The 12563-nt window shown below is 46.0% G+C and overlaps 1 protein-coding gene across 12 annotated transcripts in view, besides 1 other annotated feature; it reads right to left on the bottom strand.

Moving 5' to 3' along the window:
• Positions 1 to 12563, bottom strand: part of FARS2 (phenylalanyl-tRNA synthetase 2, mitochondrial) — a 521650-nt gene that overhangs the window by 22299 nt on the left and 486788 nt on the right. The window lies entirely within an intron of this gene.
• Positions 11266 to 11767: an enhancer, noted in NCBI's record as "H3K27ac hESC enhancer chr6:5737751-5738252 (GRCh37/hg19 assembly coordinates)". NCBI's record gives its function as "activates a minimal SCP1, AML or CMV promoter by ChIP-STARR-seq in primed H9 embryonic stem cells {active_cell/tissue: H9 hESC(primed)}" and the evidence as "EXISTENCE:reporter gene assay evidence [ECO:0000049][PMID:30033119]".

The raw sequence follows: 12563 nt of genomic DNA, 5'->3' as shown, positions 1-12563 counted from the left end.
AGCCACTTCCTCACTCTGTTGTCCTGCCTCACTCCTGCAGCTGGAGCCCCACAGCCCTTTGGCGTGTTCTTGGAGGCATTCTCACAGGCTGCTCCCACTCCCAGACCTGGACCCTTCCCTGGGGGAGGGCTGGTATGAGGGGACGGGAGGAGAGGACTGGGCCCGTGGCTCAGCCCCCTTTTGGACCAGCTCATCTTCTGGCTTGCAAGGCCATCTCTTCAGAGTTGCAGTAGAGGTGACTTCTGGGAAGGCAGGTTAGGGAGCCTGACTGTGGCTATAAACCAAGCCATAGCCTCTCGTTTCATCATAACAGTAATGAACATTTGATCTTCGCCTGATTCCTGTCTGTACTCTTCATGACATCTGAACTCAGCAAAGGAAGAGGGATGCCACTGATAGGTCCCCCTCAAAACATCAACAGACCCAATCTTTTACAGTTGCAGGCTCACATATACAAATTAGAAAGCAAAGCAGCAAGCATCCACAGCATTCGCCCACAGGCAGCACTTAATTTGTATTGGTTGAATGAGTGAATGAAAAGTATTCAGAACTGGCTGGCAATAGTTGAACTAACTCATTTTTGGTTACTGCTCCAGGCTCTGTCACTGACTAGTAGTGTGTCTTTGAACGAGTTACTCAGCCTCTCTCGGCCCCAGCCATGCCATTAGGACAAAATAATATACTGGATGTAATACACTTAGCAATTGTCTGGTATACACTGATAATCAATGCTAGCTCTTTATTTTATCAGTTTTTACTCTTATCCCTGATTGTTGCCCGTGGCCATGATGGCTGGCTGGACTCATGCCTGGCCCTCACCATTCTTGGGGAGAAAAAAATGGCCAAGCACATTAGCTTTGAGGCTTGAGAGTCCCAAAGCTTTTGAGGTTATTTTCTCTTTACATTTTCTGCATTGAGGTTGGCTGTGCCCTTTGTACCAAACATGCCATCTTTTCCACTCGAGATGAGTCCCTGAGACACACTTATTTCTAGCTTTTGAAAAAATGAGAGGTGTCATTTTCTCCCTTGGCCAACCACAAAGAAAGGGGCTCCAGGTACCAGTGGGAAAGGGTGAAGGGGAGAAGGCCCAAGCCTCAGGAAGCAGATTCCTGCTCCCACAGCAGGGATAGTGATGGGAAGCCGAGGGGAGAGGTGAGAGTGGGTAGGAGGGGTGAGGGAAGCAGAAAGGGGTAGCAATGGGAGTTTTCTTGGGATGTGGGTTGAACTGGGTTTGGAGGCAGATTTTGAGCAACATTATTTGTTAAAGCTATTTCAGATGAACTCTTGATCTCAAGAAATGATCCAGGATGAAACAATATTTCAGAAAGGAATGAGCTTAGAATCAGAGAAAATGGAGGCTTCAGATATAGATTTTTAAGATCAGTTGATCTCTGAATTGAATAATTTTAAAAAGAGAAGCATCTTGGGTGTATAAAAAATGGGTTGACAACTCAAAATACTTCAGCAATCAATAGGAAAAGATTATTTAGCAATGAAGTGAAGGCTGTCAGGTGACTGCCACCTCTGTCCTTCCAGCTCTCAAGATTACATGCACAGTTTCAACAAGTGACTGAACCCTCCGATCCTCACTGCAGGGGCTGCTGGGTGCCTCTCAGGCATCCATTCACCTCCATCCATTGTGGCATCCAGCCTCTAAGACAGTGCCCAACAACTCCTGCCATCTGGCACTCATCCCTGGCCTGAGTCCCTCCCACATCGTACTGGGGTTGGCCTGTGAGACCAACAGCATATGGCAGACAGGACAGGGTGTCACTTACTTCACACCCTACATTTAACCCAGAAGCAAATCCCACAGGCTCCATCTCCAAAACATATCCTGCACCTGAGCACCTCTCACCACCTCATCACTGCTATCCAACCACCACCATCTCTTGTTTACATTTTTGCAATGGTCTAACTGGGCACCCTGCTTCCACCCTTGCCTCCTTATAGCAGCCAAAGTAATGCTGCTAAAGCAAGGCACATCACATCCCTCCTCCTGAAAATCTTCTAGCGTCTTCCCACTTCCTCCAGAGTAGAGGCCATCCTTTCAGTGGCTACAAGCCCATGTGATCTGGCTCTCGCCTGATCTTTGTGACCTTATCTCTTTGCGAAGCCCATCATGGACCCTGCTCTAACTGCTGTGGCCTCTCTTGGCTGGTGTCCATGGTACCACTGCCTGTTCCTCAAACTTGGGGCATGATGCCGCCATACCCTTTGCAACCGCTGCTCCCTCTGTCTAGAATGCTCTTCCCAGTCTCCATCTGGCCCACTCCTGCATGTCTTTGCTCATCTGTTACCATCTCTGCAAAGCCTTCCTTGACTGTCCCATTTAAAACTGCACACGCTCTCCCATCATAATCTAAAGGTCCTACATATGTTTCCCATTTATTTTATGGTCTGCCTTTCCCCACTTGCCAGCTGTACATGCACAGAGCTTTCTCCTTCTTAGTTTTGTTCTCTTCTGTTGTCTTTGAGCCTGGCAAACAGCAAGGGTTTAATAAATACTAGCAGATATTGATACTGATCACTATTAGTGATGTGCACAGTTCCATGCACTGACTGGGGCGACAAAGATGAATAAGACCTGACTCTTGCCCTAAGGAAGCTCAGCCCCCACCCCCACCTCTGCCTATTCTCCACCCTGCTTTCTCCTGACAGAGCCCGCAGTCTCACCAGCCAAATCCTGCTGCCACCTGGAGGCCAGGACAATATTCACTGAAGCCCTCGGCCCAAGGAGATGCTGCTTGCAAAGAACTTTGGTTTGAAAAAATGAAGAGCACCCTGTCACCCTGCTTGGCTCGGGGACTCTGAGTGGCAGGACCTCAAAGACAATGGGGACAGAATGCTGCTGTCTGGATTGCACTCCAAGTGCAAATGAATGTATGGCAAGCAGACAAAAACCTGCCGTTGTCAAACACATAAAGCAGATACCATCCGTATGGAGTAACAGTGCACACACACAGACACACGCTCTTTAAAATCCCCTCTTCCACGCACCATCTAAGGACCACGTGGCCATCGTGTCACTGTCTTTGTTCATGAGGGCAGGTTCTGACTGCTCCTAGTGGAAAGCCTGCCTGGCTTTGGGTTGGTCTCAGCAGTGTAAAAGGATAATTATCTGCCGGCCGCCTGGGAATGTAAGGTATCAAATAGATTACCTTAGTAATTAAAATAATGAAAAGAATCATCAGGACTAGAAGATATTTTTTATCTTTTTAATTGAAGACTCTAAAGAAGGGCTAAAATATGAATTGGAGAGGAACATCCTTATTAATCCATCTCATAATTACAGGCATGCAGTTGGAGGCTTGTTGCCTCCTCACAGCCTTTTGGGGTTCCTTCCAATGACGAGGTCTCCCCAGGGTTCTCCTCCGACTCTGTACCACACAGGGTCACAGAGGGCTCCCCCTGATATAAAGGTGGCTGTAAAGATCTATTGATTGGTGGGGTGCAGTGGCTCACACCTGTAATCCCAGCATTTTGTGAGGCCGAGGTGGGAGGATGACTTGAGCCCAGGAATTTGAGACTAGCCTGGGCAACATAGTAAGACCTCATATCTACAAAAAATACATAAATTAGCCAGGCATGGTGGTGCGTGCCTTGTAGTCCCAGCTCCTTAGAAGGCTGAGGTGGGAGGATTGCTTGAGCACAGGTGGCGGAGGCTGCAGTGACTCAAGATCATGCAGTGGCACTCCAGCCTGGGTGACAGAGTGAGACCCTGTCTCAAAATAAAAAAGACTCATCGATTGATTTATTCTCTTCTTTGCAGCAAATGGACATTCTGCAAACAGACCTTCTGATTACACTGTCTTTGAAAAGAACTAATAAAGAATCAATTACAAGAGATATACACAAACAGAAATTGGTATTTATCTATGCAGGATATCTCCTGACAAATGGAAAGATGATTAAAGCACAGACACACATAATGAAGTGTGTCTATTTAAGATGGCCTACCTCAACTGTTAGTGCGCTCTGGCTGGCACAAGGCCATGGGTGGCATGACAGATGTCCCTCCTAATGGCCTTGGAAACCACTCTCTAACTTTGGATTTCCAAGAAATCACTTTAGGGGCCATTTTCCCTGAGAATTGGGCATCATGAGAGATAGAAAGTAGAACAGGGCTAATAATAGCTTCATTGCTGCTATCGCCCTAACTCAGTCAGTTTTATTTCATTAATGGCTCTTTTCTAGGATAGCATTTTGTGGGTATATTTGTGGATGCTCATTGTGGCATGAATGGTACAGACTAGGGTATAAACACCATGACTTTTCCTAAAGAGTGTCAAATGCTACAGGTACAGGTAAGGTCGTGACTAGGATGATCATCTTGATTTCCTTTGCCACCAACATTTAATTGCCAAATCCAAACAGCTCTTGATTCGGGCATTATTTTTATAATTGTTCATTATATTATGTATTTATTTTTTATGCATTTTTATGCATGTGTGTTATATCTAGCCATAAAAAGGACTGAAAGATTTAATGTGCTGCCTCCTGTTAGGTTTCCTTGGCTATGCGCCAATCACGGGACTGCCCTGAGCTTTGAGGTGTGTTGCAGAAGCCACTGAACACTTGCCCTGTGTTCTGGCCTTTATCCATTTTGGCTCAAGGGCAGAGCCAGAGTGGGTTTCCTCCTGCTTCCCAGAAAGTGAGCGCCTTCCCGATAAGCTGCTGAGGATGTGGGAACAGACAGATACCGCTGGGCAGAAGAGGCAGGCTTGGGAATCAGACAGAACTGGGTTTGCAACCCAGCTCTGCTACTTAGTCCTGTGATCTGGAAAAGTTAACTAACCCCACAAAGCCTCTGCTTCCTCATCTATAAACGGAGACTTAACGGTACTTATCTCAGAGGACTGCTGTAATGGGTAATTTACTAACACTGATTGTTACCAATGCGAACATACTGTTGGTCGTGGGTAACAGAATTTCCAATCCAAACAGCTTCAAAGGATGCAGAACTGTGTTGGACTGAATTCGATTCATGAGGAGGAGGACAGGGTTGTCCTGCCGCAGTGGTTCTGGCTTGGTCTCTCCACCCCTGTTCACCTCTGCTGTCCTCTTTGTGGCAGCTTCGTCCCTAGGCCTGTAACAGGCCCAGCTGCTCACCCTCCCCAGGCTTCTCTCTCCAGAGTGAGGCATCACTCCCAGAGGTCCTCAGATCTCGCACACCTTCCCCTCACAAACCACTGTTCCCATTTGGGTTATCCCCTGTTCCTAAACCAATCCTGTCTCACAGGAAGTAGTGTGCACTGACTGGCTTAGACCTGGTGAGAAAGCTGGGGTTAATGCCCCAAATGGCCGAGCTCCTATATAAGAGGTAAGACAGGAAGGACGTTGAGGAGAAACGCACGGTGAGTGTGACACACACATATGTGATTAGCACTCAATGAGTGGAAACTATTACTGTGTAATAGAGTATATAACAAGACAGTTATTAAATGCCTGTTGATAGAATACCTTTGTTTTTAACTTCCTCCAAGGAGAGTGAAACAGCTGACTTTGAACTCAGCATGTTTTCAATGACAATGCTTTCCAAGCTTCCATTCATCTTCTTTCTCCCCCAACTCCTCCAGACAGTGGTGTCTACCAACAATGTGCTCCCTTATGAAGCCACCCTAACGTGAAAACAGCTTCGGTGCCAGTGTGAGCCTTCAACAACAGCATTCGAAGGAACATGGTTTTGTTCTAAGCCAGGCTTGCTACTGATCAAATGCTAGCATGAAACTTTCATAAGGTTATTATAGAGCATGGCTTTCACCTTCTAATATTCAAGCTGTTCTATACAGTTGCAAAGGGACGACAAAACTAGGAAGTGCTCCTGTAAATCAATACAAACACTGTGGCCTTTCAGCTGCTGTCAGGAAGGTGATGTAAGGTCCTGGCCTCATCCGTTGGCATCCAGAGCTTGTGGCCAGCACCCCCAAAACAGGGTGGGCTGTGGATTCCAGTGTTAGGGCTGGGGTGGGTGAAAGGAGGTCTCTGCCATTTCCAATGTGGTCATTTGAAGGATGTGAGTCACCAACTTAAGGCTGGCCCATCAATAGAATTTTAGAGATGAGAAAAGTGAAAGGTTCAAGAGGGAGCTAAAGTTGCCATTTAATCAGATATTGGCATCCTTAAAGGTTCCCAAGAGAGCTTGAGATGACAGCCGGGAGGGATTTTCAAAATTCAAATACCTGGACATAGCCTACAAGGCAAAATTGATAATGCCATTGATTTTTGGGGCCCATATATCCTGCCCCTGCCCTGTGAGCCTTATATACACCCCACTCCACCCTCACACAAACACACGCACCCCTGGAGGTACCCTGCTGGCCTTCAGGAAACACACACATTCTCTCAGGAGTACTGGGAGCCCATTTCCTGGGAGCCCATTTCCTGAGAACCCATTTCCTGGCAGGGCTGTGGATACTTGCTCCTTTCCTCCTAGATCCAAGAATTCCTTCAATACTATGTCGTTTTGCTTTGTTTTCTATTTAAAGAAACTCTTATGGGATAGAAAGTTTACCAGTTCAGAACAATGTCACCTGATGATTTTTCCTTGTTTGCAATACCCTCAAACGTATCTTCTTTTTTTCAGACACTCAAAAAGCAAGAGGCAAGCAGAAGAGTGGAAGTGGCGGGGTGGTGGGAGGGTAGGAAAATGCAACCAAACAACCAAACCAAGAAAACAAAATGAAAAACTCTGCCAGATAAAAAATAAGAGGAAACTTTGTACAGAAAAAACAACAAAAGTCTCCAACTCTAAAAGCTTTCTACCAGTGAAATTCTCATTGAAGTCAGGGCTTAGAAGGTACTACATATAATGGGGAAAAAAATACTGAGTGCCTAATAAAAAACAACCTACTAGAATTCTTCAGAATTGTCATCCCTCTCCCCGCTCTCATCCCGTAGACTGACTTTGTTCTTTTGTAGAAACTGTTTAGAATGAAAGGGATAAGAAATATGGGAAAAGAAGCAACGCAGAGAGAAGGTTTCAAAGTAAGAGATGGGAGTTAAGCGTGACGATTAAAAGCAAAGTTGTGGAAGGGTGAAAGCTGCACCCCAAATGGGATCTGTGGGACATGAGATGCCGGCTGCATGTGAGCATCTTGGTAACCAAATAATAGGAAAGAATGTAGGAGCAGGCAATCCTGGGGCAAAAGCTGACGCCAACGTACCTATTCATCTTAGAATTGAGACTCTGATCTGTCTTTCCCAAGGCCAGATCTACAGAGAAACTTTCTGTCTTGGGCAGAATAGCTGGCTGAGACATCAGAGAGAGAGACTGAGGAAATATCCCAGGAGCCTGTTGACACAGAGGCCCTGATAACTAAAGAGAAGTCCCAGCTGGGCGTGGTGGCTCATGCCTGTAATCCCAGCACTTTGGGAGGCTGAGGCGGGCGGATCACTTGAGGTCAGGAGTTCGAGACCAGCCTGGCCAACATGGCGAAACCCTGTCTCTACTAAAAAATACAAAAATTAACTGGGGGTGGTGGCATGTGCCTGTAATCCCAGCTGCTCAGGAGGCTGAGGCAGGAAAATGGCTTGAACCCAGGAGGCAGAGGTTGCAGTGAGCCGAGATCGTGCCACTGCACTCCAGCCTGGGCGACAGAGCCAGACTCTATCAGAAAAAAACAAACAACAGGAAAAAACAAAAAGAAGTCCTTCAGCGCAGCCAGGCCAGGAGGCTGTTGTGCAAGCCTGGCTGCTGGTGCATACCCACAGGGGTTATAGACCCCATGGGAGTGGTCCCGTGGAAGCAAAGGTACAGGAGTGAGCAAGGGTCACTGGTAACACCCGCTGAACCATACCCTGGAAAGGCTCCCCCAGCTGCTGGGCATTCTAATCCTGTACATAGTGTGGATGAATCAATAGGAGACCTGGAAATACATGAAGAACATATAGAAGGGCAGGGAAAGACACGGCATCATAGGCGAAGCTGTTGCATGACCAATGCTCTCCATTCCCATAGCATCCACACGCCCTGTGCATCTCCCGTGCAGTCAGCATAGGGTAACTCTCTGTACAACTGTGGGCCCAGTATACAGAGTCAGCTGGAAGAACAAAAGCTAAAAATGTGAATCTTACTAGTACTTGGTTAAACCTTTCTTCCTCAAACTTAAAGTGACTGTTGGTTTTAACAGGAATTAGTTCACCAACTCTCAGGATGCTTTAAGATCTGGATGTGCACCAACTCTCTCGGGATGCGGAGGTTGGTGTGGGAGGAAGGGCAGGCATTTCCAGAGAGGCCCTTGGGGACCCTGCCGCAGTCTGTGTTAGCACTGACTTGTTTGAACAGTGTGGCAGTCAGAAGTGAGTCCATTTTCCCTTTAGTAGATCCAGTAAGCTGTCATGCATATTCTGCCTCAATAAGGCTCCTGGTAAGGAGAACAGGCCATGAAGGGCAGAGTGTGCCAGCAGTAATCTTCTCAAAGGCACTGGTCTACAAAAGACGGAGCCTGGGAATGAAGTACAACACGGATCCTGGAGTGCTGAAGTCTCTAGCAGTGGGGCTATTCCCCCCAGGTTACAGACTAACGAGTTGTTTCCCTGCCTTCAATGTCCTGGATAATGTGTGCTTGCTTACTGGGGATAAAAGGCAGGTCTCCAGGAGGGTTTCTCTTTGCCCAGGTGAAGCACGCTTTCTTCCTGCAGGTAAGCGGTGAGCAATCGGAAAACATAGCATCTGGAAACGGGGGCTTTTGTGGCTCCACGACAAGCCTGGGAGGGAGGTTTGTAAATATCCGCAGTGCTGAAGCCAAGCTGATGGATTTTGCTTTTTTGAAAAAAAAAAAACCCTTACTTGGTACTTCATTTTGATTAGGAACAACCTTTGCACAGGTTGTGCGTCCACAGGCTTAAGAAATCTCTACTATTTACTTACCTCATTGGTAAAAATTAAAATGGCCTCAAAGGTCACATGTATTTCAAAAAACCATCAAGGCAGGCTGCTCTACAATGAGGTTCCCAAAAAACTTATTTCGAATAGTTTCCTTACTTTTAAGCAACAGCTGAAACTTTCTCGTGTGTATTTTATCATGCCTTAGATGAAAAAGCTTTGAAGGGCCCTAACCCACTCTAGGAGGGGACCCATGATAAGCCTGGAGGAGATACTCTAGACTTCCAGTGTCCCCAGGACACATTCCCTACCAGCACACAGCAGACAGATGCCACTGTATGTAGTGGTTTGACCTGCTCTTCACTTTGGACTAAAACCATGCAGTGGTCGGAAGCATGGACTCTGGGGGCCTTTAAACCTCGGTTTAAGTCCTGGCTTTGCTGTATGACCTTGATGTGTTAATTTTTCTAAGCCATAATTGCTTTGTCTGTATAATTGGGTCAGCAATAGTATCTACCTCGTAGAGTTGCTGATGGGATTAAATCAAATGATGCAAGCAGTGTGTTTAGCGGGGTGGCAGGAACATGACAGGCTCCAAGAAGAGGGTCTGGATGTAGACCCAGGTCAACTCCCCTGCCTTTGCTCACAAAGGCTGTGTGACCTTGTGGCGGCACTAGGCACCATCCTGCCTGACCTACCGTTCTGGGTAGGGGAACCCCTCACCCACTGTCCTCCTGGATTCAAAGCAAGGACTACAGAAGAAGGTTTAGAAGGAAGATTATTTTCTAACACTCCAGAATTTTGCTGTAAGAAGCAAAGTGATCGCTGCTAGCCTGAGAAACATACATCTGTCTTGTAGACATTTCCCGTGAAGATGGTCCTGCCTCCTACACACAGGCCACTGGGCACCTGAGGGCCCCAGGTCACAAATTCCTTCTCCTAAGCCATTTTGAATTAATTTTAAACATAAAAAACAATCCACTGCTTTATTTTGTTTTTTATTATTGCTTCCCAGGAATAACTGGTCAAACAACAGGCAGGTGTTCCAACTTTGCCAAAATTGGAAATGGCCATGCTAGAAGTTAGGATTCTTGATCTTTTTTTAATTACAATTTTTTTTTTTTTTAGAGACGGGGGTCTCACTATGTTGCCCAAGCTAGTCTTGAACTCCTGATCTCAAGCAATCCTCCTACCTTGGCCTCCCAGAGCACTGGGATTACAGGCATGAGCCACTGCACCTGGCCAGGATTCTTCATTTTTTGATACATGCAACAACTTGGATGAATCCCAAGGGCATTATGTTGAGTGCAAAAGGCCCATCTCAAAAGGTCACATTCAGTGTGACTCCGTGTACATAATATTCTTAAAGGGACAAAATTATAGAGATGGAAAACAGATTAGTAGGTGCCAGAGGGTAGTGATGGTGGGGGTAAGGAGAGCAGGTGTGATAAGGACTAGCACAAGGGAGATCCTTTTCGTGACAGAATGTGGCATGACTGATGCCTGTTCTAACGAGTCATTGTCCAGGCTGCGCTGGCTGTTAAATATTATGAATATAACCCCTAAGCGTTCCAAGATTTTGTCTTACGTTCTAGAAAATGAAAAAAACCGACAACGATACACACGCAACTCTTTGGTTAAAGTTTTATGCTTTCAGGAGTCTTGAAACTGCATTTTTTTTTTCTAAATGTATGGTCTGTGTTAAGTTTTTTTATTTTAACTGTTGGAAAGAAATCTGACTAGCTTCGTGACTCGTAACCAACTCTTCTTGCTGTTACCATATGGTGTTTCCTTTAATAAAAACATTTTACAGAAATAATGATTAAAAAAACTACTTTAAGCTTTTATAAAAGTTAGATGTTTCTGGCAATAAAAACATCCCTTATAATTATGTAGATAGCTTTGTACCCAGTAAACAGGAAAAACTCTGTTCTTGCTGTTTTACTTCTAAGAAATGATGATGCTCTCTGTCATTCATCTTTGGACATATTCTGAATCTCTTACTCATTGACCTCACTTTGGATCGTAGTAATGTACACTGAAAGAACCTGTTCTATTCATACATCTTTTAGGGTTCTGTTTCCTCTGACTGTTTGCAGTACAGCAACATATTCAATCTCTTCAGAGCTCTGGCATACTGTGTCACTTCTGATGAGGGCAGCTGCATTCAACAAAAGAAAAAGGACACATTTAAAAAATTCTAGAAGTAGCTGGGTGTGGTGCTTATGCCTGTAATCCCAACACTTTGGGAGGCCAAGGCAGGAGGATTGCTTGAGCCTGGAGTTTGAGACCAGCTTGGGCAACATAGTGAGACCCTGTCTCTACAAAAAAATTAAAAAATTAGCTGGGCGTGGTGGTGTGCATCTGTAGTCCCAAGTACTCAGAAGGCTGAAGTGGGAGGATTGCGTGAGCCTAAGAATTCAAGATCACAGTGAGCCATGATTGCACCACTGCACTCCAGCGTGGGTGACAGAGCAAGATGTGGTCTCTAAACAACAACAACAACAAGAATAATAACAACGAATTCTGAAGGTATGCAGAACAAAGCAACTGCTAATAGTGCCATGGGGAATCTGGGCTCTTCTTTCTGTCCCACCATCCTTAGGAAGCAAGCCACGGTCTTCATGGGTTGCAAGATGGCTGCTCCCTCTCCAGTCCTCCTATCAGCAATGCACAGATAGACGGAAGAAGGGTACATGGTAAAAGGCCAAAGGGGCATGCCAGACAAAAAGCCCTCAGGGAACCTCATCCAGAAATTTCTGCTTATTCTCATTGGCCAAAACTGGGTCACATGACCACCTCTAGGCTGGGATGGGGAAGTTATGCATGCAGGCTAGGTCAGCTGACCAATGCCATCTGCCACTCACACTATTCCAGAAAGCAGGGAGGGGGCTCACTTCCCTTCCCATAGGATCTTCTTTCTTTTTCAGACAGGGTCTTGCTCTGTCGCCCAGGCTGGACTGCAGTGGCACAATCTTGGCTCACTGCAACTTCCGCCTCCTGGGTTCAAGCAATTCTTCTGCCTTAGCCTCTTGAGTAGCTGGGACTACAGGCACATGCCACCACGTACAGTTAATTTTTGTATTTTTAGTGGAGACGGGGTTTCACTATGTTGGCCAGGCTGGTCTCAAACTCCTGACCTCGTGATCCACCCACCTTGGCCTCCCGAAGCTCTGGGATTATAGGCGTGAGCCATTGCGCCCGGCCAGGATCTTATTTCTGAAGCCTATTCTATTTCTTGTTTCCCCCATTGCCTTTCAGGATCCCTTTTGAGTGGCTCTGAGTGTATTTCTGTGAAGTTTTCGAGGCTCAGTTTTACTTCTGATGGAAGTAACTGTGTGATCTCCCTTCACGCAGGGTCATCTGTGTTGCTAATGTATGGTACCTGTGAAGTCTGATTTCATTTCCTTACATTAATTCATAGGGTGAAGGGAAAGTAGAGTAAATTTAAATGAATGTTTTCATCCAAAATAATCTGCCTTAGTGTGGAGGGCGAGAGGAAGGGAGCAAACTCACGTGCTAATGGGCATGGTGGAGACAGAAGAGAGATGAGTGAGATGGGATGCAAGTTATTCCACATTACAGCAGCTGAGGCAGTAAATTGGTTTGCCATGTACTTACCCATCACTCTTAGATAACTCTCCCTTCTGGATTAAAAAAGGGGTATTCTAGCACCTATGTGGTTTAAATTTATGCAAGAGTTGAATTCATGCTGGTCTATATTTAAAGCTCTGCA

Source organism: Homo sapiens, chromosome 6, assembly GCF_000001405.40.
Source record: "Homo sapiens chromosome 6, GRCh38.p14 Primary Assembly".
NCBI lineage: Eukaryota > Metazoa > Chordata > Mammalia > Primates > Hominidae > Homo > Homo sapiens.
Note: the sequence above shows the minus strand (reverse complement) of the source record. Positions and strands in the feature narration are given on the sequence as shown.